General features: G+C 45.8%; 1 protein-coding gene and 2 long non-coding RNA genes across 11 annotated transcripts, besides 6 other annotated features; 1 reads left to right on the top strand and 2 right to left on the bottom strand.

The window, feature by feature from the left end:
- On the bottom strand, positions 137-14,118 carry SLC25A38 (solute carrier family 25 member 38). Of its 8 annotated transcripts, none has more exons than XM_047448413.1 (8): positions 9,017-13,053; positions 8,099-8,126; positions 7,872-7,993; positions 6,981-7,065; positions 5,868-6,047; positions 5,467-5,635; positions 2,912-3,078; positions 137-1,090 (listed from the first exon to the last, which is right to left on the bottom strand). In XM_047448413.1, the coding sequence occupies exons 2-8, from the start codon at positions 8,111-8,113 to the stop codon at positions 968-970; spliced, it is 861 nt and encodes a 286-aa protein (XP_047304369.1). In that variant the 5' UTR covers positions 8,114-8,126; positions 9,017-13,053; the 3' UTR covers positions 137-967. The 8 variants fall into 8 exon arrangements, with proteins under 8 accessions (XP_047304369.1, XP_047304370.1, XP_047304371.1 ...); XM_047448414.1 differs by having other exon boundaries at positions 8,099-9,212; positions 9,623-13,053; XM_047448415.1 differs by having other exon boundaries at positions 8,099-9,120; positions 9,623-13,053.
- Positions 12,910-12,979: an enhancer, noted in NCBI's record as "active region_19707". NCBI's record gives its function as "activates an Ori minimal core promoter by ATAC-STARR-seq in GM12878 lymphoblastoid cells {active_cell/tissue: GM12878}" and the evidence as "EXISTENCE:reporter gene assay evidence [ECO:0000049][PMID:35858748]".
- Positions 13,070-13,219: a silencer, noted in NCBI's record as "silent region_14226". NCBI's record gives its function as "represses an Ori minimal core promoter by ATAC-STARR-seq in GM12878 lymphoblastoid cells {active_cell/tissue: GM12878}" and the evidence as "EXISTENCE:reporter gene assay evidence [ECO:0000049][PMID:35858748]".
- On the top strand, positions 13,163-18,057 carry LOC105377644 (uncharacterized). Of its 2 annotated transcripts, none has more exons than XR_007096252.1 (3): positions 13,163-13,247; positions 14,444-14,535; positions 16,368-18,057. It is a non-coding gene; the product is annotated as an uncharacterized LOC105377644 (long non-coding RNA). The 2 variants fall into 2 exon arrangements; XR_002959626.2 differs by lacking the exon at positions 13,163-13,247 and adding an exon at positions 14,225-14,331 and having other exon boundaries at positions 16,368-17,641.
- Positions 13,450-13,499: an enhancer, noted in NCBI's record as "active region_19706". NCBI's record gives its function as "activates an Ori minimal core promoter by ATAC-STARR-seq in GM12878 lymphoblastoid cells {active_cell/tissue: GM12878}" and the evidence as "EXISTENCE:reporter gene assay evidence [ECO:0000049][PMID:35858748]".
- Positions 13,510-13,609: an enhancer, noted in NCBI's record as "active region_19705". NCBI's record gives its function as "activates an Ori minimal core promoter by ATAC-STARR-seq in GM12878 lymphoblastoid cells {active_cell/tissue: GM12878}" and the evidence as "EXISTENCE:reporter gene assay evidence [ECO:0000049][PMID:35858748]".
- Positions 13,630-13,809: an enhancer, noted in NCBI's record as "active region_19704". NCBI's record gives its function as "activates an Ori minimal core promoter by ATAC-STARR-seq in GM12878 lymphoblastoid cells {active_cell/tissue: GM12878}" and the evidence as "EXISTENCE:reporter gene assay evidence [ECO:0000049][PMID:35858748]".
- On the bottom strand, positions 16,336-20,976 carry LOC105377037 (uncharacterized). Its single transcript, XR_001740661.3, has 3 exons — positions 20,908-20,976; positions 19,811-20,012; positions 16,336-16,561 (listed from the first exon to the last, which is right to left on the bottom strand). It is a non-coding gene; the product is annotated as an uncharacterized LOC105377037 (long non-coding RNA).
- Positions 19,237-19,286: a silencer, noted in NCBI's record as "silent region_14225". NCBI's record gives its function as "represses an Ori minimal core promoter by ATAC-STARR-seq in GM12878 lymphoblastoid cells {active_cell/tissue: GM12878}" and the evidence as "EXISTENCE:reporter gene assay evidence [ECO:0000049][PMID:35858748]".
- Positions 20,977-27,574: the final 6,598 nt, after the last annotated feature.

The raw sequence follows: 27,574 nt of genomic DNA, 5'->3' as shown, positions 1-27,574 counted from the left end.
TCAGTGGTGGCCTGGGGCTGAGAATGAGGATTAATTACAAAAGGCATGAGAGATCTGTTTGGGGAATAAAAATGTTCTTAAACTGATTTATAGTGATGGTTGCATCATTCAGTAAAGCTGCTTTTTTGAACAGAAATTAGGTTTTAGGGACCTACATAGGTCAATAACCAGCCACCCTAGAACTATTTTATTTTAGAAAAGGGTTTGGTCCATTTTTATAAGGCACAGGTAAAGAAAACAGAAGTGTGACAACATCTTTTAGGTTTTCCAAACAGCTTTCAATGATAAAGTTCAATAAATAAAGTACAGCACTTTAATTGCAGGGAAAAAAAAATGCCAGAATTTAGAGGTAAAACAGTACAGGGGCCAAGACCAAAAAATTTTATTTGGAACATTCAGAGGCTAGAAAGCCACTGTCCCGTTCTCCAGAGCCTCTGAGAAGTTAACTGAGAACCAATTAAAGAAGGGCATCTGTTCCTCCTCATCCTACCATCACCTCAGTCAGTCTGTGACCTGGTGACAGTGACTCCTCTCCTCACATCCAGTCTTCCCTGGTTGGAGCTCCTCAGGCCCGGCAGGCAGCTTACAGCTTCTCTGGCTTTGTGATTGCTTGCCCAAGAACATACCCAAGGAGACCCTGTGGTGTAGGGGTGGGGCTGAAGCGCAGCCACCTGACAGAGCTCTCCTGGGAAAATGCCTTTCCAAGTAGCCTCTCAGAGTATGCAAAGCTCTCTCCTAACACCCTAGTGTGCTCTATGAATTGATGACTCCTCTTTTGGAGATTCTGAAGGCTGAAATCAGGTCCATATATTTTCTCCTTAAGGGGATTACTGAAGGCAAAGGCAACACAATTTCTGCCTGGTTTTCCAGGTAGGACTTCATCTTACTGCAGAATAGTAAGAAGCAGCAGCCCTTGGCAGAAACCAAGCAGGGCAACAGATTTCACCCGTTCCCAGTCCTCTCTTGGTCAGGACTTCAGGCCCATCTTGGCCATCATCTCTTCATACACCGTCCACGCCATTGCTGCCATTAGAGTTCTGCGGAGGGCTCGGGGGATGCCACCTTGGAAGAAGCCACGTAGTCCATAGTCCTATGGTGAAAATAAATGTCAGAACTCTGGAAGCAAAGTAGCAATACAATTAATTATCCACTTGGTACCACAGTGAGGGTCTCTGTTATCCCATGTTTAAGACTTAGTTTCTAAACTTTATGCCCAAAGTAAGAATAATGGGTCCAAGGAGACAACCAAAGAACTTAAAAAAAATTTTTTTTTTTTCCGAGGCAGAGTCTGGCTCTGTCGCCCAGGCTATAGTGCAGTGGCGCGATCTCGGCTCACTGCAACCTCTGCCTCCTGGGTTCAAGCGATTCTCCTGCCTCAGCCTTCCGAGTAGGTGGGACTACAGGCGCCCACCACCACGCCCGGCTAATTTTCGTATTTTTAGTTGAGATGGGGTTTTCACCATATTGGCCAGGCTGGTCTCGAACTCCTGACCTTGTGATCTGCCCACCTCAACCTCCCAAAGTGCTGGGATTACAGGCGTGAGCTACCGCGCTTGGCCAAAAACCATTTTTTTTTTTTGTAGTTGCTGGGCTTACCTTTTTAGGCTGCTCTATCTAGGGGGATTTCTTAGCTGAAAGTCTTTATGCAGGGTTGCTGTGTACTTGTGCAGTTTGTATACTGTACAGAAGCACTAAGCCCCAAGTAGCAGATGAAATCCAGGCAGAAACCTGCTTGCCAAACCCTGGATCCTGGATCCAGGCTGAAGGAAAAGGTGCCTTCTTGTCATTTGTCTTATCTTTTTGTAATTCACTGTATGCTCTTGGTGGCCCTCTCTTCATATTAATTAAAGAAAAAATGCCCCTTCCTCCTCCCTCATAATCTGGGTTGATTTGCGATTTCACATAAAGAAAATATTATTTTAAAACTTTCTGATTTTAGATATAGAGATAAGAACACAAATTCACATTTACCTTTAGCAAGAATATCTGCTTTGTGATAACAATACATGTTCTAAAAGAGCCAACAGAGTGGCTTATGGATAGTATACATCTATTGTAATTTATTTATTTTTTTTTTAATTTAAATAAAGTCTCCTTACATTGCCCATGCTGGTCTTCAGCTCCTGGGCTCAAGGGATCCTCCTGCTTCAGCCTCCCAAAATGCTGGGATTACCAGCATGAGCCACCGCACCCAGCCTCTACTATACTTTTTATCTTCAATACCACCATTTGTCCATTTATATTAGAGCAAGCTTGTTCAACCCACAGCCCGCAGGCTGCATGTGGCCCAGGACAGCTTTGAATGCAGCCCAAAACAAATTTGTAAACTTTCTTAAAACATTATGAGATTTTTTTGGTGACATTTTTTCTTTAGCTCATCAGCTATCATTAGTGTTAGTGTATTTTATGTGTGGCCCAAGACAATTCTTCTTCCAATGTGGCCCAGGGAAGCCAAAAGACTAGACACCTGTATATTAGAGCAAACTGCTAGAATAAAACAATGTGTTTGTGTGGGTTTTTTTTTTCCCTCTGACTAAATAGTACTTTACCCTAGGTCCTCAATTAGAGTACTAATTTCACCCCGATTTCCTGATTCAGTAAGTCTGGGGTAGAGTTCAGCAATCTGCAGTGTTTAACAAATATCACAGGTGTTCCTAATGTAAGTGTCTCCACCCCTCAAAGAAATATCAATTTTGTGGTTTTCAACCTTAAAACATATTAAAATCACTGGGGAACATTAAAAAAAAAATCTCACTAGACATTCTGATATAGTTGGCCTAGATTTTAACCTGGGCATGGGGATTTTTAAAAGCTCTCTAGGCAATTTTAATGTGAGTGAAGGGTAAGAACTACTGCTCTAGAAAGAGATCCTTAAACACCACAAGAACCAGTACTTATTTTGTAGTCTTACTTTGAAAATAAGTGTCACTGCTTGGCCAATCCATTGAAACTTCAGTGGATAAAGCTGCATATGAGTTTTGATAACATCCGCAGGTTGAGTTACCAGTGAGGCCAGAATACCAGCAAATATCCCACAGCTGAAATTTGTAATAGGAATAAGGGTTGCATCCACCTGGTCTGAAATAGAACAAAGGTAACATGTGGACATAGATCTTATATTAATCAGATAAAGGTCAGTGCAAGTTGCCCACCAATTCTTCCCCAAACCAAGAAAGGTCTGGATTCAAATGAGGCTACGAATTCAAAACTTAAAGGTGCAACTAGTAAATTTATGTGGATGGAATGATAGAGTTAGAAAAGCACCTTTTTCAAACCACCATCACAATAACTGACTCAGGCAAGAATCATTGACTGATTTTAAAACATGTGGGAAAAAGAAACAGGATGTTTATACAGATTCAAAGTTATCTTCCCACAAAGATACTTAGACATTACAATGGGAAAAATAGGTGAGTTTTCAGGGAAGATACCTGTCAGTATCTTATCCAAGTGATAAAGTGTTACTATCACTCATAATGGGTCAAATTGATGTCATGACCCTCCCGATATAAAGCAGTGAGGATACAACATCACTTATGTGGTCCTCTTGCTAAAAATCTAATCATGAAGAAACTGCAGATAAACCCACAATGAGGTATATAACTGGCCTATACTCTTGAAAATAAAACACAGGACTACTACGAAGTACATTATTGGGACAATTAGAGAAATCAGAATATGGACTGTAGGTTAAAGAATTGGGCCACATGCCTGTAATCCCAACACTTTCGGAGGCCGAGGCGGGAGGATCACTTGAGCCTGGGAGTTCAAGACCAGCCTGGGCAACATGGTGCAACTCTGTCTCTACTAAAAATACAAAATTAGCCAGGCATGGTGGCATGCACCTGTAATCCCAGCTACTCCAGAGGCTGAGGCACAAGAATCACTTGAACCAGGGAGGAGGAGATTGCAGTGAACCAAGATCACGTTGCTGCACTCCAGCCTGAGTGACAGGGCAAGACTCTGTCTCAAAAAAAAGAAAAAATTATCTAGGTTAAACTTCCTGAATTTCATAAGATGGTTATATGACAGGATGTCCTTATTCATAGGAAATAGACACTGAGGTACTTAAAGTTAAAAGGGCATCATGTTTCCAACTTACCCTCAAAGGGCAGGAAAAAAATATGTACATTGTACTATTCTTGTGGCTTTTTTGCAAGTTTATTTCCAAATACCAGATCGATTTTTTTTTTTGAGACGGAGTCTCACTTTGTCACCCAGGCTGGAGTGCTGGAGTGCAGTGGCATGATCTCAACTCACCGCAACCTCCACCTCCCAGGCTTAAGCGATTCTCGTGCCTCAGCCTCCCAAGCAGCTGGGATTACAGGCATGTGCCACCCATGCCCAGCTAATTTTTGTATTTTTAGTAAAGACCAGGTTTCACCACGTTGGCCAGGCTGGTCTCGAACTCCTGGCCTCAAGAGATCTGCCCACCTCGGCCTCCCAAAGTGCTGAGATTACAGGCATAAGCCATCGCACCAGGCCTCAGAAATTTGTACACTTGATCTTAGCCAAAAGGCCAAGAAGTGATGGGCCTCAGAAATTTTTAAAGATGGATTGAGAAGTTAAAAATTGCCCATCTATGCTTCCTTATTGCCTTAACTTTCTGTCACAAAATAAGGCTGTGACCTGCAGAGTTACACCTTCTGGTGCCTGGGTAGAAGCAGCAAATCTCCCAAGGCACTCCAGCTGTAGCTGGTCCCCATAGTCATGATGGCGGGCATGCTGACATTCCTAATTAAAGGACCTTGGTTGCAATTCCTTGCTCAAATTATCCATAGACACTTTATTACATGCAGGTTCATTCTATGGATGTGTTTCTAGCAATACCTTGTTCTGCTTGGGTCGTTGTTTACTGCCTACCAATTTTGTCCATGTCTAGCCCAACCTGAGCTAACTGGTGGGGTGGGGTGGGCCTCCCCCACTGACTGAAGTTTGACACCTTCATCTCCACCTAAATGGAGGGCTCAAAACCATGTTAACTGGGAACACAGCAAGGGAGATGAAAATATTATTTTTCTTTAAACTCCTAACTTACTACTGTTTCCCTGACTTTAACAAGAATCACATCAAGTGCGTCTTGAAAAATACAGACTCCTAGGTTGTACCCCAAGGTTTCTCATCTAAGAGGCCTTGGATGGGACCCAGCAATCTTAAGATCAAATTTGGGAAGTACTGTTGCAGAAACTCTGCAAAGCATGCTTTATTTCCCTCCCACCCACCCTATCCTCACCCCGCCAAATTATAGTGGTGTAAATACTGTTTGCCTTAATAGGATGTAAACTCCAAAGGGCAGGGATCAAGTTTGTCATATCCACCTTTGCATCCCAGTTCCTGACACAATCATGATATGGCTCAGTTCCTAACACTCTGCTAAGAGAAACACATAGTCTCATATCCCAGAGAAAATGGTGAGGATCTGATGTCTCAAGGATAGCTCTTCCCCAGATCTTCCTTTATCCCTACCATGAGGCACTATATTTTTGGTCTGGTTGTAAAACATCAGGTAGATTCCTGAGAAGGGCGCATCTCGAAGGAGAGTTGCTGTCAGGCCACTGAAGAGGCCCCGGTGCCCCTCACTGTGATAGATGCTCCTCAGGGCAGCGTAGATACTCTCATAGCCATATTTCCCACTCTGCAAAGAGAGCACAGAACCAGTGACTCGCATGGAGGCGCTGCATTTCAGCACTGAACAAGCAGACTGCAGGTTATGGGGCATTACCATGGGATCTAGTTCACATATGGCTTGTCTGACCACATCAGACTCTATGTTAGATTACAAATCAGGAGTTGACATCGGTGGTCACTCCCCAGGAGCCCAGTGGCTAAGCCGAACTATCCTGAGGCCCTAAAGTGGTTGAACTCACCTCATAGCGCGTCTTGATTACAGTGATAGGTGACATACAGACCCCTGCAACAGAGCGAGAGCCCACCCCCAGCATGACTGACTCCAGGGCGGTTGGGGGATGGCCTCGCAAGAAATACTGCTTCAAAGAGTAGAGAGTGCCAAAGTAGATTCCAACGCCAGGGACACATCTCACAATGGACTGCAGAGAAGGTCAGGGAGAAAAGAAAATCAAAGACCAAACACTTTAAGTATTATCTTAGCTGGGTTTTCCCAAAAGACCCCAAGATGATTCGCATGCAAGTGCTTTGTTTAAGGTGTGGAAGGAACACCAATAGGGAAGTGGGGGACATGAGATAGGAGAGAAGGCAGTCAATAAACGATGTTATAAAACCAGTTTCTGCTGTGGGCAACTTAATCCCACTGGGGAACTCTGGGAATCGGTGTAGAACACACCTCAGAGTTATCCCTCCAACTGAGTGGGGAGGGACATGGGATTTTAAACACCAACTCTCATCTTTCAGTGGTTGAGGACTCTGTGGGTTTGGAAATGCACAGTGCTGTGGGTTAGGAAATCAACATCACTTCTGTGGTCTCCTTGCTAAAAATGTAGAACTAAATCTAATCACAAAGAAACTGCAAATAAACCTACAGTGAGTTATATAACTGGCCTATACTCTTGAAAACAAAACACAAAATTACTCTGAAGTACATTACTGGGATAATAGAGAAATCAGTGTATGGATTTCTGATTTGGGTTTGGGCTGGGCACTAATTCCTTGGCGTGAGTCCCTAAGGCCAGAAAAAGCCTTTGAGCAAAGAAATGCTGGTGTGGAGGTACCATCCCACTTTTACTGAAGTGATAAGAGCAAGGGCATTCTGACAGGTGGGACATTAGGTACCTATGCTGTAGAGACTATGCTGCACTAATAAATCACATCTAAGCATAATGTGCAAATGCAACATATCCCTGAGCCTTCAAACAGAAGTTAGTTGTAGTATGAGAGATAAGACCACATAGGTACTCCCACCACTTCTGACTCTCACATATCCTTAAGAGCTGGTAAGGTAGATGAGAAATAGCTGGTTATTAAGGAGTGGATGCTAGGGAACCTAGACCCAGATGGCAGCTTACAGGGGACATCCCTTTCCAAAGGCCCAAAAGACTCTCCGTGCGAACCACCTTCAAGAGTACAGCCAACATCCCAACACGTCTAGACCTGAAAGCAGACAAAATGGAGACAGGAAGGAAAAAATCACTTAGATCACTTCCTCATAAAACAATTCCCCACTCAAACACTTCCTTTATAGACTCATTTTTAGGACACTTAACAATCTCTACAATGCACCTTGGAGATACTCTATGTGTTCGTAGGTTGGCACACACAAAACAGACAATAGAGGCTGGGTGCAGTGGCTCATGCCTGTAATCTCAGCACTTTGGAAGGCTGAGGTGGGCAGATCACTCGAGGCCAGAAGTTTGAGACCAGCCTGGCCAACATGGCGAAACCCCATCTCTACCAAAATTACAAAAATTAGCTGGGTATGGTGGCGAGCACCTGCAATCCCAGCTACCTGGGAGGCTGAGGCAGGAGAATCCCTTGAACCTGGGAGGCAGAGGTTGCAGTGAGCTGAGATCGCACCTCTGCACTCCAATCTGGGCAACAGAGCGAGCATCTGCCTCAAAAAACAAATAAAACAAAAACAAAAACAGATAATACTGATGTTATTTCCAGAAAATCCCCTGGTACTCTCATGCCAGGCAATACAGTTATAACATCACAAGCTAACACAATAAAGTGTAAATGTCACTGAGCCGATTCCAGGAAGCTGCTCAGGAACGGACCCCATTTAATTAAAAAGAAATGTCAAATATAAAAACAATTCAGAGAACATATGAAAGTTGGGCATGGCCTGTGTTTCTCTCTGAACATCCAACAGAATGGAAGTTGACTTAACACAGTAAAGATGTTCCTGTGTCTGAGAAGTTGCTGAAATCAGTTCCCCAATGAAATGCAGGGCCTACCCATGATCTGAGGGCTGGAGGGTTTGCAGGCGTGTTTTAAGGAGATCCAGAGGTTGGAAAAGGAGGGTAGAGCAGGTCCCACTGATGGAGCCACACAGGAAAGCCTTGATCACCGGATGTAACTGCAGGATAAGACAATATTGTGTCAGTAGCTCTGCCTGTGTGAGCCTCACCTTTCTCTATACCTGACCAGCAAATTCCTTTATAATGGTCTCTTAGACACTTACCTGGTGGTGCCTCATGTTTTCTTCATACCTCGGAGAAGGAAAAAGTATAGCCAGAAATTAAAAATACTGCAATGTTATTGAGGACATTGGATGCTGCAAGAGGTATCTCTGGTCTTCGTATTGCTGATAGACATATTGCTCAGTGGGAGCAAAACTATTTCCATGCCACTGACCACTCTTCCCTATTTGTTCTGACTCAAAAAGTTACTGGTCATCTCCCTATCTTTGCAAAAGCAAAGTCAATTGAATGCAGTGCTTTCACTTTGAACTGATGATGTGCAGACTCCCTTCGCTCTAAGACCTATAGGTATTTATAGGACCAAGCCAAAGCAAATGAAACCTTAAGCTCAACCACTGTGTAAAATGTAAGTGCCACTTCCTGTAGAACCTAGTATTTCCTTCATTTAAAACTTTCCCCTTACCATCTCACTGGGCCCTAAGCAGATCACACAGTCCTACAGACCAGTAGCCTCCCCTGGCTTTGCTGCTTCTCCTTCAACCCATGAACCGTCATATACACTGGCTAATCTACAGACACCACCTGGAAGGGTGGAACTCCTTCAAAGACTAAATATACCTCCCTTAGTTCCAGGAGCTGCAGCTTCCAGCACTGGTGCTATCATTACAGGACAGCATCCTTTCTCCAGACCCCTAGAACCCAGTAGTATCACAAATGACTGTGAAAAGGTACTTAAAATCCAACCAGTGACCTTCTTCCCCTTCCCTAAAATAAATAAATAAATAAATAAACAAATAGCTATCTTCTCCAAAAATGTTTGGCAAATTCATCCCCAAAGACCTCTTCCCTTATTAAGTGGCATTTGCACTATTATTTTTTAAATAAATGACACATTGTGGCCCTAAAACATTAAGATGAATATATATAAAGTTTCCATTACACATCACATAACTACTTACCTGGAACTGAAATATTTGTAATCTGCAGTATTTGCTTAACAGAGAAGAGAGTGTATCTCAAATTCCACCAAAGAAGCCAGTTATAACTGGAATTCCTCATAAGACTGTTGGAGGCAGGGGGTGGGGGGAACTAAGGTCATTAAAAACTGGAGTTTACAACCACGATGCAATAACTTCTGAAGTACCAAAGGGTGGTCTGATAAGACAACAGGTAAAACCAAGTAAGGTGTGCGTATTTTAGCAAGTCTGTATCTACATCAACTCCCTCTCCCCAAGAGGTGTCCTGCTCTTCTGCCAACCAATATTCTCATGAGTTCTGTGTTTCTAGTCTCTCCCCAAGACTTTGTGGCATTAATGAGCCCCCCTTCTTCACACACTGGGTCTCTCGCTCCCACTGGCATCTCCTCTTCTGCCAGGCAACAGGCTCCAAAGCATCCATCTTTCCAGCCTGACGCTACACCATCTCCACTTGCTCTGTGCCAGTCCCTCCGCAGGCCCCCCCAGTTTGCTATCCAGCTAAATCTCCTCCACTAACACAGCCTCTGAGGGCTCACCAAGCACCTGCTGCACCCCAGGACCCCGTTCCTGTCCCTGCCCTTATCTTACTTGGCCTCTCTGGTACATGCCATATAGCTGAGTGCCTCTCCTCACAGTTTCTGGTTTCTCTCTCCTTCTCTTCTTTGGCCTGCCCTTCACATAGGACTGCTCCTCTTATCTCCTTTCAGAGTAACCTCACCCATATCCAGGCTTCACACACATGCTGGTAATGCCCACATCTCCAGCCCAGGCTGGCCTCTCCCCAGACTCTGCTAATGTCTCCTTGTCTTCCCTCAAATGGCCCACAGGCATCTCAAATTCAACATGTCCAAAATGGAAACTTGGTCAACAGTTCTCCACACACTTGCCTCTTCTCCAATCCACACTGGGATACTCCAGGAATCCAGGTTGGAAACCTCAGAGACACATAAAACTCACCATGCCTGCTGCTACATGACCAAGTCCCACTGACCAAGCCCTCAATCTTCCCAGTCTGGCCTCCACTGATCCATCCTAATGACCTCTGCAGCAGTCTCCAGCCTCAACTATGCCAACCCACCCTCCACTCTGCTCCCAGAGTAGCACTGGGCGAGGCATCTATAGACACCACCTCAAAATCTCATAGCATCTTATGAGCTAGGTATTTTAAACCCGTTTTACAGATTAAACTGGAGCTCACAGAGGTTACAAATGTGTCCTATGTCACAGGGGTTGAAGCCACTGGCCAGGACTTAAAGTTCATACTCTTTTCACCATACCACCCAGTCTAAAGTGAAAATCCAGGATACTTAGGCCACTCAGTGCATTCCACTATTCACCACCACTCCCTCCTTGAAATGCTCTCTTCCTTTGGCTTCAGAGATTAATACTGTCCTGGGTTTCCTCCCACTTCTCTGGCCTCTCCCTTAAATGAACCATACTCCCATGGCTCTTCATCCACTTCCAAGGGTTCCATTTCCACCCTCCCCTCCACACTCTCAGCCTCTCGCTGGAGCTCAGTCTCACACAGCCACGTACTCAGATGGCCACCTCAGATGATGTTTCCAAACCTGAACTTACCTTTCTCCCACACCTCCGACCAGCTCCTCCTCCAAGGTGCCCCATCCCAGTGAATGCCATGCCATTTCTCTAGCACCCCAGCCAGAAACCTGAGCACCATCCTTGGACTTGGCCTCTCCACACTTGTTCACTCTATCTCCAAAACAGCTCTCAAATCCACCAATCCATTCCAGCTGAGAACCCTGTTATCTCTTGCCTTGGTGACGGCCACCAATTTTTTACCCATTTGTCATCTATATGACCCCTCTAATCCACTCTTTACCCTGAAGCCATAGTCATCTTCTGTTTTATTATTTATTTAGAGACAAGGTCTTGCTCTGATGCCTAGGCTGGAGTGTAGTGGCACAATCATGGCTCACTGCCAACCATGACCTCTCAGGCTCAGGTGATCCTCCCACCTCAGCCTCACGAGTAGCTGGGACCACAGGTGTGTGTCACCGTGCCCAGCTAATTTTTTTGTAGAGACGGGGTTTCGCTATGTTGCACAGGCTGGTCTCAAACTCCTGGACTCAAGCAATCTGCTCACCTCTGCCTCCCAAAGTGTTAGCATTATAGGTGTGGGCCACCATGCCCCGCCTGAGTCATCTTTTAAAACTGCAAATTTGATCATGCTGCTTTCAGAAATAAAACCCTTCAATGAAAGATAATGTTTTGTGAAATTTGAAGTTACTAGCTTAAAAACAAGACCAAAAAAAAAGATGGAATAAAAATACAAGTAATGACAAATGTATTAGGAGCTACAGAGTATCCCACAAATTTGTCATTAATACTAATTGAATTATAATTTTAAAAAACCCAACCAAACCAATACCCTTTAATTGGTTCATATTCCTCTCAGGATAAAGTCCAAACTGCTGGTTGCAGGGCCTTTCATGTATCACAGGGCTCCTGCTAACCGTTTTGGCCTATGTTCTCACCCTCCCACTAACACACTCTGCAGCCATACTGGAGGACTCCGCCTTACTTTCACCTCTGAAAACTCTGACATGTTGTTATGCCCTAGCACCGGTCTTGCTCCCTAACTCCCCCATGTCCAAGTTCAGTGCCTCTCCTTCCGGCTTCTACAGCAACACCTGTCCCCATCTCCCTTATGACTGCGTGTCAAAGACAGAATAGTCACAACTCCTGCCTGTCTTGTTCATGGTGATATCTCAAGAACTGACCTCGGAGCCTGGTGCACAGTAGGTGTTCAGCAGTGACAGCGGAATGAATCTTACCACCTAACAGGAAACCTTATGCTCTCCCTTTGAGCACAATCCCACATGATAGGGCTCGGTGGGCCCTGCATGACTCATCCCAGGATGGGTTAATCTCCCCCACCTCTCTCCAGGCCCCTTGCTCCAGCAAGGCTATAGGAATGACCTGCAGTTAGTTTCTGGGCAGTTATGTTAGGCGCTGCTTCCCCAGTGCTCACACAGGTGCTGTGTGGAATTTGTTTTAAAACAAATTTGCTGCTGTCCTTGACCTTCCCACCCTTGATTGCAGGAAATATCTTCTTAACGTCTTTTATTTCACAGCACAGTGATTAGACATGTTATTGGCTCAAGTTATTGAGCCAATAACTTTTTTAGCTTTGTACTTTTCCCAGTCCATTAGCACAGAGCAGATGTTATTTATACTAGCAGTATAGATCAACTTCTAATAGGCAAAAACAAGACAACAACAACAACAAAAACCATCCCAACAGGTAATACTGAATGGTCTTAAGATTTTTGTCAATGGTGAATGGCACACATCCTTTGCGAGTGAACTTAACTTTTAAAAAGTAGCTCAAGGCCAAGCGCGGTGGCTCACACTTGTAATCCTAGCACTTTAGGAGGCCGAGGCAGACGGATCACTTGAGGTCAGGAGTTCAAGACCAGCCTGGCCAACATGGTGAAACCCTCTCTCTACTAAAAATACAAAAACTAGCCGGGCGTGGTGGCGCACGCCTGTAATCCCAGCAACGTGGGAGACTGAGACAGGAAAAATACTTGAACCCGGGAGTCAGAGGTTGCAGTTGAGCCGAGATCACGCCACTGCACTCCAGCGCGGGCGACAGGGCGAGACTCTGTCTCAAAAAAAAAAAAAAAGAAAAAAGAAAAGAAAGCTCAAAAATATATTCAAGGTAAATAAAAAAGTAGTTTCTTTTTAAGGGGAGAAAGAAGAGGGCATAAACAATAATACGCACACGAAATAAGTAGCACATAAGAGTACAAACTGGATCCACAAGCAATTCCTACTGCCCTGAAAAAACTATCCTAAGTCCAATTCACATCTGGAGGCGAGGGCTGGAGAGCCCTGAAAAAGGTAAGCAGGTTTTCAAAGACGTCAACGTAAAGTCGCCACCGCCGCCGTCTCCGCCTTTAAGGATTAAAAAAAAAAATAAAAGCCGCCCCTACCTCGGGCGCAAGACCTCAGAGGGAGAGCTGCGGCAGCTGCAGTGGCCTCAGGCCTTTAGCGTCTAAAGACTGGTTGCACCCCGACTCCACCTACCGGGCAACCACGCCGCCAGCCCCGCCTCCGCCTCCACCAATAGCGGCCCGGCGGCCCGGGCACGATGACCAATCGAACGCCGGAGGAGGCGTGGCGTCGCTGGGGGACCACGCGCCGTCCCAACAGGCTGGAAGGGTGCCGCCACGACTGGCCCCTCCAGGTAGGCCGCCGCCCGCGGGCGCACAGCGCTACCCGGCCAGCTCGCTGCGGCATCAACGGCTTCTCAGCGTCAGCGCTATTATCAGGCCTTGTGACCGTCCCAAATCTGCCCGGGTGCCCTTCCACCTGGCAGCCTACTCGCACCTTGTGGGGGCCGCGCGGGCACACTCCCCGGCACGCGTCCAGTCCAGGCCCCGGCAATTCCGCCCTTTACCGGGACATCGGCCCTACAGCGCCTGCCCCCAGGGCTGGCCTGCAGCTCCTGGCCTCTCCTCACTCCCTGCCCCCTTCTCAATTCCCTTAGTCAGACTCCTCTCCCGCCGCATCCTAAATCCTGAGCGCACCCTGGGGCGCGGAAAAGGGTAGCCGAGCCTTAGCAACGCCCCGAATTCTCCGGCCCGAGCCCGCGGTTCGGACCCCTGCCCTTCCTTCCCCGCAGTGCCCTCACCATAAGCGTTTCCACCGTGTCTCCGACATCTTGGGGTTGCAGCAGCGACGGACGTGAGTTCTGAATCATTGGAGATGAGGCCCGCGAGTCCTCTGGGCCCAGGGTGCCGTCGACGGGCGCTTGGGCCCAGCCCTGGAGGCCTTGAAGAAGGCTAGGGGGTGGCGCTAGCCAGGCGACGCGCTTTAAGCCGCGGGCTCTCTGACGTCTGCGCCTATAAGCACGCAGCCGCCGGGGTTCGGATCCTGCTAGTCCAGGGGCTGCGGGCGCGGAACAATCTTGCTGCGGGAATTACGCGCCGCTCTTCACCCGCGCCGCAGACTCCGCGGCTCTGCTCTCCTGCCCATCCTGCCCTGCTGCAGGCTTCAGCACCGTAGGAGATGAGGTTCTGTGTATCCCGGGGTGGAGGAAGCGCCGGAGGAACTCTGTAGAAGGGGAGATTTCGCTTCCGGGTGGGACGCTTGTCACGTGAGGGTGTTCTGAGTGCCACCTGGTGAAAACGCCCAGAACTGAAGGATCCGCGCTTCCTTGCACCCAGAACTTAATGGAGCGTCTGCAGGGAACTTTGCTTTTGCGTGGAACGTCTGAACGTATTTACAATCCAGACCTGGTCTGCCCAGTAAGGCAGCCACTAGCCAACGTGGGCTATTGATTTATTAATTGATACATTAATTTTAATTATATTAAAACAAGCAGTGTGGAATGCTTTCTCCTTAAACAGGCGTTTTTTTGTTTTGTTGTTTTTTTTTCAGGACCATATTTCCCTTTAAATGCTGAAAATTTAGTGTGGAATTGATATGTACTGTATGCATAAACCACACGCTGGATGTCTAAGACTGGTGAGGTAAAATCTCAATAATTTTTATATGTTGAAATGATATTTTGGATATATTGGGTTAGGTGAAATATTAAAATTAACTTCAGGCCGGGGGCAGTGGCCCAGGCCTGTAATCTCAGCACTTTGTGAGGCCTAGTCTGGAGGATTGCTTGAGGGAGCCAAGGAGTTGGAGACCAGCGTGGACGACAAAGCAAGACCCCGTCTCTAAAACAAATAATAATAACTTCATGTGTTTCTTTTTAAATGTGGCTAGTAAAACATTTAAACTTTAACATGTGGCTCCCATTACATTTCTGTAGGACAGCGCTGGTCTAGTTGGTCAAAATTCTGGTTTATTGCTCACCTGGAATCTGTCAATGGCTTTTTTGGTCTCCCAACTTCCCCTTATGCCTGTCTGGCTGATCCATGGAAAAGCATTACTGCTGGGATCCTGACACTCCTGTTGAAAATGCAGTGGCCCTGGTAATAAAGTCCAAGCTTTTCATAGCAACCTTCGCTACTTTCCACCTTCATTCATCACCCAAGAACTAGATCAGAAAGGAAAGTGACTTAGGGAGCAAGATAATATTTTTTCAGGCTTCATTCCTGTGCTTCTGAGGTACATAGAACAGGAAGGAAAGTGGTCCCAGAGGAGGTTATTCCCAGAAAGGATTAAGGAAAGTATAAACATTAAAAAAAAAAAAAAAATTACAGGCCGGGTGCGGTGGCTCACGCCTGTAATCCCAGCACTTTGGGAGGCCGAGGCGAGCCGATCACGAGGTCAGGAGATCGAGACCATCCTGGCTAACATGGTGAAATCCCGTCTCTGCTAAAAATATAGCCGGGTGTGGTGGCAGGCGCCTGTAGTCCCAGCTACTCGGGAGGCTGAAGCAGGAGAATGGCGTGAACCCAGGAAGTGGAGCTTGCAGTGGGCCGAGATCGTGCCACTGCACTGCAGCCTGGGCGACAGAGCGAGACTCCATCTCAAAAAACAAAACGAAACAAAATTACAAACCTGCCTGGTGATTGAATACTTTGCTACCCTTTGTTCTAAGCTGCAAGGCTTATTTTTCTTTGTGCAGTAGTGATGTTGATAACTATGCACTGAAACTTCTTTTTAAAGGAAGACCTAATTCCACCCTGACACCCACCCCCGCTGCACTGATTCCATAAGACAAGAATCCCTACTTTTGAGAAATCATGGGTTGGCGTATTTTAGAGACTGCTCTTGGCCACTCTGGGTGTGGGAACACAGGTGGGATCTAGAGTGAAAGCCGGCCCTCCACTCCCTCACCCTTCCAGGTATGCCTGCTTGGCTGTGGGCTCAGAAGAAATGGGCTGGCTTTCAAGGGTGGCAGCTGGCAGATTTCCCTCCTCTGTATCTGCTCCTGCCATGCTTACTCATAACTCTAAAGCCCACAGGCCCTTCTTTTCCCACATCTCCTCCCCTGGATGTTTGTGGGGATGCAGAGATATATAATGATCATGGGGAAAGAGCATCACCCATTGGCAGATGAGTGGGGGGTTTGGAGCAGTACTTAATGGCAAAGTTGGAGGAGTGAATTTTTTTTTTTAAAAAGAAAACATTGTGACTTTAATTCAAAACAAGGTCATTAGCATAAGGCAAGCCTTAATGGATTTATCTGCAGTCAAGGGAAGGTGATTTGGCTCTTATGACCTAACTTCCCTCAATTACACACTGGTCCCTCAAAGATCCAAAGTGGCCCATGTTTTCTGGATTGTATGATCAGGTTACATGATGTTTTCCCATCCCAAGGATTGTAGACACCCTCTACCCAGGAAGAAATACACATGTATCAGTTTGGATACATGACCTCCTCTTAAAACTTTATTCACAGCAAGTCTTGACATCTGGAGGAGTTTCCACCATCCAAGAAGGAAAAGGCAAAGGTCCACATGGGAAGCTGGAGGTGAATGGGAGAGACAGAGGCTGCTCAGATAGGGGCTTTGGTTTCCTGTCTGCCTGTCAGAGCAGGAGGAGGTGGGCCTTGCAGCACCTTGCATCTGCGTCACTTCATTTGTAAGAAGATGGCTGGAATGGTGAAAAGCACACAGGTAAATCACTGCCCCCACCTCCATGTTTCCAGCAGACCAGCTCAGCAAGATCTTTCTACCTGCCTGGAGCCAGAGCTGCTTCTGGAAATATCTAAATTTTCTCTTCTACTGATGCCAAAACAATGAGGCCAGCCTTTGCCTTTTGGAAACCAATAGGGGATTGAGAGGGGAGATACCATGCATTCTCTCTGCTACAACCTCCCTTACCGCCCATCTTCATCAGTCTCTCTATGCCTACTGGCCTCTCAGGTCTAATGGGCATCTTATGATAGTCTTCGTCCTGTAACTAATGGAGGCTCCTCTCCATCTGAATATCTGCTCCCATCCTAAACATGCACAACCTGAAAGAGAAGCCTTAAGAGTCTCCAAGGGCACTGTCTTCACCAGTGGGGGAAGCCACTCTTTGCCTGATCACAAGAATGGGTGAATACTGCAGAAAAAAAGGGAATTCTAATGGCTTTACCCAGAAACTTCCACAAAGAGGATGGTCCTGTCACTGCTTTTGGCTTCACAAGAAGGAAACACCTTTCTTCCTTCTGTGCCAGTGACTATTGCCTGTAACCTCACCCCTGAGCCAAGGGTGACCAGGCTACGAGAGAACAATGAGTTAGAGCGGCTTACAAGCTGGTATCCGAGGGAGGGGCAGATGGCTCTGTGGGGTGGACTGCGTTCCTGCAGGAGTGGGATCTTCACATTCTACTCCAAGGACCAAGTTGTTAGGGGCAGTGGAAGGGAGAGGAGCCATGGTGCGTGCCCAGGCAGTGTGGTGTTTTGTGTTTTGTCATATGGAAGCCACAAGTCACTCCATCAATATTTTGACAAAGCAGTTCCCCATCTTATGGAAAAAATCAAACTCTTCTTGTTTTCCTGCTTTCTTCACAATGAGGAAACGGGCAACATTTTGGCTAAAAGTTTATAAACATAAGCACATATTTTCTGGTCACAAATCTTCTAGGTCCTGATTGATCTGAATTTCCCACAGGGGTAAGCAGGACCCACTTGTGGTTTTGTGGTTTGCTTATAGCTCTATCCATATGTGGAAGGTTTTTTTTTTTTTTTTTTTGGAGACAGAGTTTCACTCTCGTTGTCCAGGCTGGAGTGCAATGCTGCGATCCCGGCTCACCACAACCTCCGCCTCCTGGGTTCATGCAATTCTCCTGCTTTAGCCTCCTGAGTAGCTGGGATTATAGGCATGCGCCACCACGCCTGGCTAATTTTGCATTTAGCAAAATTAGCAAAATGTTGGTCAGGCTGGTCTCAAACTCCCGACCTCAGGTGATCCGCCCACTTTGGCCTCCCAAAGTGCTGGGATTCCAGGCATGAGCCACCATGCCAGGCCAGCTTTTCTTTATCTTGGACAGAATGACTTCATTTATAAGCAGCATCTTGTGTAACAGTCAGTTTTATGTGTCAACTTGGCTAGGCTATAATACCCAGTTTTCAATTAAACACTAATCCAGGTGTTGCTGTGAAGGTATTTTGTAGATGTGGTTAACCTCTGTAATCAGTTGACTTTAAGTAAAGGAGATTATCTTTCATAATCTGGATGAAAGAAAATCAGGACACATATTTCCCTGACAAATACACCTTGTTTCCCTTCCTTAAAGGGTAGAGGCTATCTCCTGCTTTTTTCTGTGTGTCTTTGAGAGACCACTGAGGCAGAGTAATGCTGTAAAAAGAAAGTGGACTTTGGAATCAGGCATTGATTCTGTATTTGATCCTGGATTTGTCACCTGCTAGCTGTGTATTCACCTCAACTTTCTTGTTTGTTATTTTGAGATAAGTCTTGTGCTATTGCCCAGGCTGGAGTGCAATGGTGTAATCTCAGCTCACTGCAACCGCCGCCTCCCGGGCTCAAGTGATTCTCCTGCCTCAGCCTCCTGAGTAGCTGGGATTACAGGCGCACATCACCACGCCCAGCTAATTTTTGTTTTTTTAGTAGAGATGGAGTTTCACCATGTTGGCCAGGCTGGTCTCAAACTCCTTACCTCAGGTGATTGCCTGCCTCGGCCTCCCAAATTGCTGGGATTACAGATGTGAGCCACTGCGCCTGGCCAGTTTATGGGCCTTAATTAGAGGTCAAGAGTGAAGCCTCCCATATATAAAATTAAATACTTAGGGTAGATTCAGTGGCTCCGGCTTGTAATCCCAGCATTTTGGGAGGACGAGACAGCAGGATCTCTTGAGCCCAAGAGTTCAAGACCAGCCTGGGCAACATAACAAGACCTTGTCTCTACAAAAATAAAAACAGTAGCCAGGTGTGGTGGAATGAGCCTGTAGTCCCAGCTACTCGGAAGGTGGAGGCAGGACAGTCTCTTGAGCCCAGGAGTTCAAGGCTGCAGCAAACTATGACTGCACCACTGCACTCCAGCCTGGGTGACAGAGCAAGACCCTGTGTCTATGTTTTTTTAATTCCAAATACTTACCAAACATCTGCATTTTTACCAAAAATCTCAAAGCAGAATTTCTAATGACAGATTAGGTATGTAAATTAGAAGTCTTTCCCTCTGGCCCCTTTGTTTCTTAACACGCGTGGCACTCCATCATCTGCCATTCTTTCCCATCTGTTCTCTTTCACCCAGTCAGAAGCTCAGCTCAAACTGGCCACTAGAGGGAACACGTGTCCTGTTCCCAACAGGTTCTGGGTCCTGGCTTCAGGTGTCTGTAAATTACCTGATAGTCCCACTGGCATTGTCACTGAGCTACTGGCCTTGGGTGTACCAGGGTGAAGGCACTGGCCCTTGGTCCCAGACGCTGCCCCTTTCCAATTCCTCATGTATGCTTCATCTGTCTGGTCTATACAGGAGACCAGCTGTGGTGGGAAAGTATAAGGAGATGCCAGGAGTGGCTTCGGATAGAAGTGGAGAGAACACTGAACTAAAAGTCAGGAGTTTCTGATGCTAGTCCAATATCTGACAAAAACTCATTGTCACCTCTCTAGGCTTCAGCTTTCTCACGTGTAAGATGAGGGCCTTGAACTAAGTGGCTCCAAGTTCCTTTTCTGGGCTAATATCATATGAATCAGGGATCATGATCTCCAGACTCCCTTGGTCCTGACTTTCAGGCTAATGCAAGCCACAGAGGAGATATAGGAGATAGGCTGGGGCACAGATTGCACTGAGGAAAATGCATATGCATAAACAAAGTTTTGCCAACAGTTCTGTATTATTTAGAGCACCCCTGCAAGCCCAGTTAAACCCTACTGGTGTAGGGGGTTTCAACATACCAGGGACAGCTTTAGCAATCTTAGTAAGGTCTGCTTCTTTAAGGAATTGCACAGAGCACCAACAACCTGGAAGTCTTGTCCATGACCCATCCACAGTCTTCTCCATGAACTCATTGTAGAGCCTCACCATGATGGGGCTCCAGCTGGCACTGGGGAGGGAGTAATCCTTTGTATCAGACTGGAGGTGGCTACTGCTTGAGACCTGAAAAGTCCAAAAGGGGTGGTGGACTGTCCCCAGTACCTTCCGATTTGACTCATTCATTCAAGCATTTACTAATAGATGAGTCTGTTTTCATCTTGCAGAGCATGTACAAATACCCAGAGGTAAGAGAGAGCATGTCAGATTCCTAGAACTGTAAATGTGGAAACGTCTAGTAGGAGGGAAGGAATGGAAGGGAGGAGGCCAGAGGGAGAGCCTGGGGCCCTCCATCAACCATGTAGGAGAATGTAGGCTTTATGCTGAAGAGGTTTAAGCAGGAGAATGAAAGGGTCAGATTTGCATGTTAGAAGGATTTCCGTACACGGGAAGTTACAAACTGGTCAAGTCTCACTCACACTGGAGAGCCTTGCTGATATGCAATTCAAAGACACATTCTTTCCCCTGCCTGTTTCCTTTCAGCTTCCAGCTCCTCTGTGCCTCCCTCTCCTGCTCCCCAGTTCCTTCAGGTTCTGCTTCTAAGACGGTTCACCTTGTTTGACTATGTAGTTTATTTTATCTCCTTACTGTCCTATTACAATCAGAAGGCTCAGCCATCATCCTGGCTAACACAGTGAAACCCCATCCCTACTAAAAATACAAAAAATTAGCCGGGCATGGTGGTGGTTGCCTGTAGTCCCAGCTACTCGGGAGGCTGAGGCAGCAGAATGGTGTGAACCCGGGAGGTGGAGGTTGCAGTGAGCCGAGATCGCGCCACTGCACTTCAGCCTGGGCGACAGAGTGAGACTCCATCTCAAAAAAAAAAAAAAAAAAAAGGCGGCTCAACCAGAGACTCCCTTTTCTGGGAGACAGAGTAGATGATTGAGTCCAGATAGCTAGTCCTCCCCACTGGGAATTTTGGATAATCCATCACATGACAACACCTTCTTTTATCTTCTACCTGGTTATTGTTTGAATTCACTGGTGCCAATCCGTCCTTCCTGTTCTTGGTACAGTTTCTACTTTTTCTGGTGCAGTTTCTACTTTTTCTGGTGCAGTTTCTACTTTTTCTGGTGCATTAATCTGGCTTACTCACAATTCCCTCTATATGCTCTTCTCTACCTAAACAGATGGAGAGAAACATAGCTTCTTAAATTACTTATAAATAGACAAGTTCTTAAAGGCGAGGGGTCAGGTGTGAAGGAATGATCAACAATTGTTACTGCCATTCTGCAGGAAGCTCTTCTTTTGTGAGCTAGTGGATGGTAGTGGCATTTGAATTCAATCTCGGAAACTTTTTCCCATTAATATGCCACACTTACTGCTGCTTGTCACTTAACTGCTCTGAGCATCAATGTTCAAATGTGTAAAAATGAGAATAACACCACCCTCCCTGCAAATTGCTGTGCAAACTGCATGAGGTAGTGATAATGTGAATGGACCTGGCTCAGTACCTGCCAGAGCAAGCATTCCAAGATGCTAGTTTCATCTGAATTCAACAGGAAAAAAATCTCTCCTTCTCCAGTTTGAGCCCAAAGAATTTTTTAAGCAATGATTATATTAACGAAGCCTGGACTGAAATCTTTTTTGGGATGAGGTTACTCATGAAAATATGAAAGGGATGACATCCAGTTGATGCTACTTCTTAGCACTTAAATTGCACACAATTCACTTTTAATTCTGCCTATTTTTTTTCTTTTTTTTTGAGATGGAGTCTCACTCTTGTTCTCCAGGCTGGAGTGCAGTGGCATGATCTCAGCTCACTGCAACCTCCGCCTCCCGGGTTCAAGCAGTTCTCCAGCCTCAGCCTCCCGAGTAGCTGGGATTACAGGCACCCGCCATCATGCCTGGATAACTTTTGTATTTTTGTAGAGATGGGGTTTCACCGTGTTAGCCAGGCTGGTCTTGAACTCCTGACCTCAGGTCATCTGCCTGCCTCAGCCTCCCAAAGTGCTGGGATTACAGGCGTGAGCCACTGTGCCCGGCCTAGAAATTATCTTATTAAAATGTAACTGCTGCTTTCCCTCCAGGTGCTACTGCTCAGATTTTCTTTCCCCATTTCTACCCACACTAGGGTTTGACAATTCAACTTTCCCACATCAGAAATGTTCAAGAGAAACTAGAGGATGGCTACAGAGTCAGTAAGAGTGAAGGGACCTCTAGGTACTGTCTCTTAGCCCTTGGTGGCCTCACTTTGAGATCCTCACCCCTCAAAATAGGCTAACAGAGCCAAGTGTAATGAGCACCTTCTAAGAATCAGGAGCCCTGGCCCTAAGTCTTCATGAATTTGCCAATATCTGCTGTGGCCTTGGGCAGGCCAACTTGTATTTCCAGGCCTTAGTTTCCTCATCTGTCAAAGGAGAGCAGCAGATCGAATACTATCTAAGGTGTTACTTGTCTCATTCTGGGGCTCTATGACCAGCCTCAGCTGCCCAGCATCTGGCGATGAGGACACACACAGTGATGAGCTGGACCAGCTGATCTGGGTGGCAGGTGCTTGCCAGCCAGAGCTTGGAGAAGGGGTGCTGCATGTCGGCACCCCACCAGACATCTGAGACCTCTCTGCAGCACGACATCCAGCTGAGATCTGCCAACTGAACCTCCTCACAAAGGCTAGCTTCACTCCTATTAGATGAGCATTGGCCTGAGGTTCTTCCTCAGCCAAGCAGAGCCTGTCTTTGTCTCCTGAGAGGCAGAGGACAGCAGCAAAACCCACCCCCTTGCCTTGCCAGGCAAAACACTAAGCAATCATAAGTTAGTAAATTACAAATGCATTTGATGTGTAGAGCTGCCAGGAATTTTGGTTGTGTTAACCAGGTACCTGGAATAATTGGATCAATCTTAGAATGTTTTGCATGCCAAGGGTCACTAAGGTAACCAACAATGACTAGGAACCAACAATGACAATCAGTCCCTGCATGTAAGGACAGTTGGCCCTGGGCACCTCACCCTAGTTCTTAGCTCTGTCTTGTTGTAGGAGCCCAGTTTCTTCATTCACTCAAAAAAATTAAGCACATATTATGTGCTCTAGGTTCTGGGGATATGGTACTGAACAAAACATGGCTTACATCCTATAGGTAATGACTAATTATTGTGCTTTCTACACCCCAGGTACTGTTATAAATATTTCTGCTTTATTTCTTTTAATACTTATAAGATCTCATATACAGTCCAAATCTGAATTTCACCAATTGTCCTCAAACTGTCCTTCACAGCATTTTCTCCCCTATCCAGAATCCAATTTAGAATTATATATTAATATTTCAGTGAGATGTCATGTCTTTTTAGTTTCCTTTAATCTGGACCAGTGCTTTAGCCTTTCTTTGACAGACATATTCATATCATACCACGTATATATACACACAGGAATGAGCTCCAATTCTTTCTATTCTACTGTAGGCAAGTAGTGGTACTGCTAGCCAGTGAATAGTAGGTGATGTTAGAACACCATTTCAAAACCCTGAACACATAGACCAGAGGAATACATTATTACTATCCCAATTTTACATATAAGGAAACTGAAGCCCAGAAAAGTTTCAATAAGTTGCCCAAAGTTATACTACCAGTAGAAGGCTACATGCTGTTTATTTTATTAATAACCTTTGTATGTGTACAAAGGTTTTGCAGGTTACAGATTGGATATAAGGCCATTCTATAGAATAGGCAGGAGAGATGGCACATCATCATCATCTTCATCATCCCTATCTTACCAGTGACTAACCTCAAAGAGGTTAGTTCAGGCTGGCTTGTAAGTGAAGGAGCAGGGTCCAGGACAGGTCTTCCAATATATCCCTTGCAGTGTCCCCTAAGGAAAGCTTGGAATGATTCAAGATCCAGCAATATGTTCCACTTCACAAGTGTTGGCTCTTCCAAATAGTCTTTGCTAGGGTCGGAGAGAGAATAGTCCTGACAGGCAGCAGTCTGGCAGAAGGTGGAGGAGACCTCTCTTCAAATCTCACCCCAATCACAGAGCTGATCCAATACTGCTGTGCCCAGTGTGGTGGCTCCTCTCATAGGGCTGGCTGCACTCAGAATTGAGTCTTCCAGGGCATGGCCTGCTGTAGGCCAGGCAGTGGGACAGCAAAGCTGAGAAAGCACAGGGCATGTGTAAGCATGGACTAGCTGGCTGATGCAGGAGGCAGGGTAGAGACGATTTTAAAGACATTCTACTCTGAGACTCTGTTATCAAGCTAAAGGGAGCTTGCTGCCCAATGCACTAGAAGCCGATACTATGATACCAGGTTTTGAGAGAAGAAAGACGTCTTATTGGAAGTTAACTCACAAGGTGACAGGAGTGTGAAGCTCAAATCTGTCTCTCTGTGCTGGCTTCAAAGCAGTATCTTTATTAGAAAAGTTTCAGGGGGTGGATTTTGAGATTAGGTGATTGGTGGAAGAAAAGTGGAGGTCTGGAAAGTCTCTGGGGATGTGCAGTTGTCTCTTCATGATACCTCATGGATCACATGTGCAAATTCAAGGGGAGTTAGTATGAATCATTTCATATAAATTCAGGTGGTGATGTCAGCAAGCTGGTTCTGCACAGACATGCACTGGCCATATTGATTCCAACTGATGTTAGTTACTTTATCTCATAAGCAGAGAGAGTTTCAGTGTTAACAACAAATTATTTCTTTCTTAGCTGCCATCTTGCAAACTCAATTATTTCTATTAGTTACTGGTTTCTTTAACTTTTGAGGCACAGATTCATTTCTAATTTGACAGCCTCCTGGGTTAACAATAATAATCTGGAAAAATTCTTTCAAGAATAAGTGAGAAAATCTGGAGGAGCCAAGATGGCCGAATAGGAACAGCTCTGGTCTACAGCTCCAGCGTGAGTGATGCAGAAGACGGGTGATTTCTGCATTTCCAACTGAGGTACTGGGTTCATCTCACTGGGGAGTGCCAGACAGTAGGTGCACGACAGTGGGTGCAGCGCACCGTGTGCCAGCTGAAGCAGGGCAAGCCATCGCCTCACCCGGGAAGCACAAGGGGTCAGGGAATTCCCTTTCCTAGTCAAAGAAAGCGGTGACAGACGGCACCTGGAAAATTGGGTCACTCCCACCCTAATACTGCGCTTTTCCAATGGGCTTAAAAAACGGCACACCAGGAGATAATATCCCACACCTGGCTCAGAGGGTCCTACACCCACGGAGTCTCGCTCATTGCTGGCACAGCAGTCCAAGATCAAACTGCAAGGTGGCAGCGAGGCTGGGGGAGGGGCACCCACCATTGCTGAGTTAGTTGTTTGATTAGGTAAACAAAGCCCCTGGGAAGCTCGAACTGGGTGGAGCCCACCACAGCTCAAGGAGGCCTGCCTGCCTCTGTAGGCTCCACCTCTGGGGGCAGGGCACAGACAAACAAAAAGACAGCAGTAACCTCTGCAGACTTAAATGTCCCTGTCTGACAGCTTTGAAGAGATTAGTGGTTTTCCCAGCACGCAGCTTGAGATCTGAGAACAGGCAGACTGCCTCCTCAAGTGGGTCCCTGACCCCCGAATAGCCTAACTGGGAGGCATGCCCCAGTAGGGGTGGACTGATACCTCACATGGCCGGGTACTCCTCTGAGACAAAACTTCCAGAGGAATGATCAGGCAGCAGCATCTGCGGTTCACCAATATCTGCTGTTCTGCAGCCACCACTGCTGATACCCAGGCAAACATGGTCTGGAGTGGGCCTCTAGCAAACTCCAAGAGACCTGCAGCTGAGGGTCCTGTCTGTTAGAAGGAAAACTAACAAACAGAAAGGACATCCACACCAAAAACCCATCTGTACGTTGCCACCATCAAAGACCAAAAGTAGATAAAACCACAAAGATGGGAAAAAAACAGAGCAGAAAAACTGGAAACTCTAAAAATCAGAGCACCTCTCCTCCTCCAAAGGAATGCAGCTCCTCACCAGCAATGGAACAAAGCTGGATGGAGAATGACTTTGACGAGTTGAGAGAAGAAGGCTTCAGATGATCAAACTACTCTGAGCTACAGGAGGAAATTCGAACCAATGGCAAAGAAGTTAAAAGCTTTGAAAAAAAATTAGATGAATGGATAACTAGAATAACCAATGCCGAGAAGTCCTTAAAGGACCTGATGGAGCTGAAAACCAAGGCACGAGAGCTACGTGACGAATGCAGAAGCCTCAGTAGCCAATGCGATCAACAGGAAGAAAGGGTATCAGTGATGGAAGACGAAATGAATGAAATGAAGCGAGAAGAGAAGTTTAGAGAAAAAAGAATAAAAAGAAATGAACAAAGCCTCCAAGAAATATGGGACTATGTGAAAAGACCAAATCTACGTCTGATTGGTGTACCTGAAGGTGATGGGGAGAATGGAACCAAGTTGGAAAACACTCTGCAGGATATTATCCAGGAGAACTTCCCCAATCTAGCAAGGCAGGCCAACATTCAAATTCAGGAAATACAGAGAACGCCACAAAGATACTCCTTGAGAAGAGCAACTCCAAGACACATAATTGTCAGATTCACCAAAGTTGAAATGGAGGAAAAAATGTTAAGGGCAGCCAGAGAGAAAGGTCGGGTTACCCACAAAGGGAAGCCCATCACACTAACAGCTGATCTCTCGGCAGAAACTCTACAAGCCAGAAGAGAGTGGGGACCAATATTCAACATTGTTAAAGAAAAGAATTTTCAACCCAGAATCTCACATCCAGCCAAACTAAGCTTCATAAGTGAAGGAGAAATAAAATACTTTACAGACAAGCAAATGCTGAGAGATTTTGTCACCACCAGGCCTACCCTAAAAGAGTTCCTGAAGGAAGCACTAAACATGGAAAGGAACAACCAGTACCATCGAGGCTAGGAAGAAACCGCATCAACTAAGGAGCAAAATAACCAGCTAACATCATAATGACAGGATCAGATTCACACATAACGATATTAACTTTAAATGTAAATGGACTAAATGCTCCAATTAAAAGACACAGACTGGCAAATTGGATAAAGAGTCAAGACCCATCAGGGTGCTGTATTCAGGAAACCCATCTCACGTGCAGAGACACACATAGGCTCAAAATAAAGGGCTGGAGGAAGATCTACCAAGCAAATGGAAAACAAAAAAAGGCAGGGGTTGCAATCCTAGTCTCTGATAAAACAGACTTTAAACCAACAAAGATCAGAAGAGACAAAGAAGGCCATTACATAATGGTAAAGGGATCAATTCAACAAGAAGAGCTAACTATCCTAAATATATATGCACCCAATACAGGAGCACCCAGATTCATAAAGCAAGTCCTTAGTGACCTACAAAGAGACTTAGACTCCCACACAATAATAATGGGAGACTTTAACACCCTACTGTCAACATTAGACAGATCAATGAGACAGAAAGTTAACAAGGATACCCAGGAATTGAACTCAGCTCTGCACCAAGCGGACCTAATAGACATCTACAGAACTCTCCACCCCAAATCAACAGAATATACATTCTTTTCAGCACCATACCACACCTACTCCAAAATTGACCACAGAGTTGGAAGTAAAGCACTCTTTAGCAAATGTAAAAGAACAGAAATTATAACAAACTGTCTCTCAGACCACAGTGCAATCAAACTAGAACTCAGGATTAAGAAACTCACTCAAAACCACTCAACTACATGGAAACTACTCAACTGAAAAACCTG

This window comes from Homo sapiens, chromosome 3 (assembly GCF_000001405.40).
Source record: "Homo sapiens chromosome 3, GRCh38.p14 Primary Assembly".
Lineage (NCBI taxonomy): Eukaryota > Metazoa > Chordata > Mammalia > Primates > Hominidae > Homo > Homo sapiens.
This window is presented reverse-complemented; position numbering and strand designations above follow the sequence as displayed.

Excerpts from the sequence above, each read along its gene's own strand:
- SLC25A38 (NM_017875.4), bottom strand. The coding sequence starts at position 13,763 with ATGATTCAGAACTCACGTCCGTCGCTGCTGCAACCCCAAGATGTCGGA. Across the intron at positions 6,048-6,980 it reads TTTGGAAAGGGATGTCCCCT|TCCATTGTGAGATGTGTCCC; the intron begins GTAAGCTGCCAT and ends CCTTCTCTGCAG. Across the intron at positions 5,636-5,867 it reads TAATCAAGACGCGCTATGAG|AGTGGGAAATATGGCTATGA; the intron begins GTGAGTTCAACC and ends CTCTCTTTGCAG.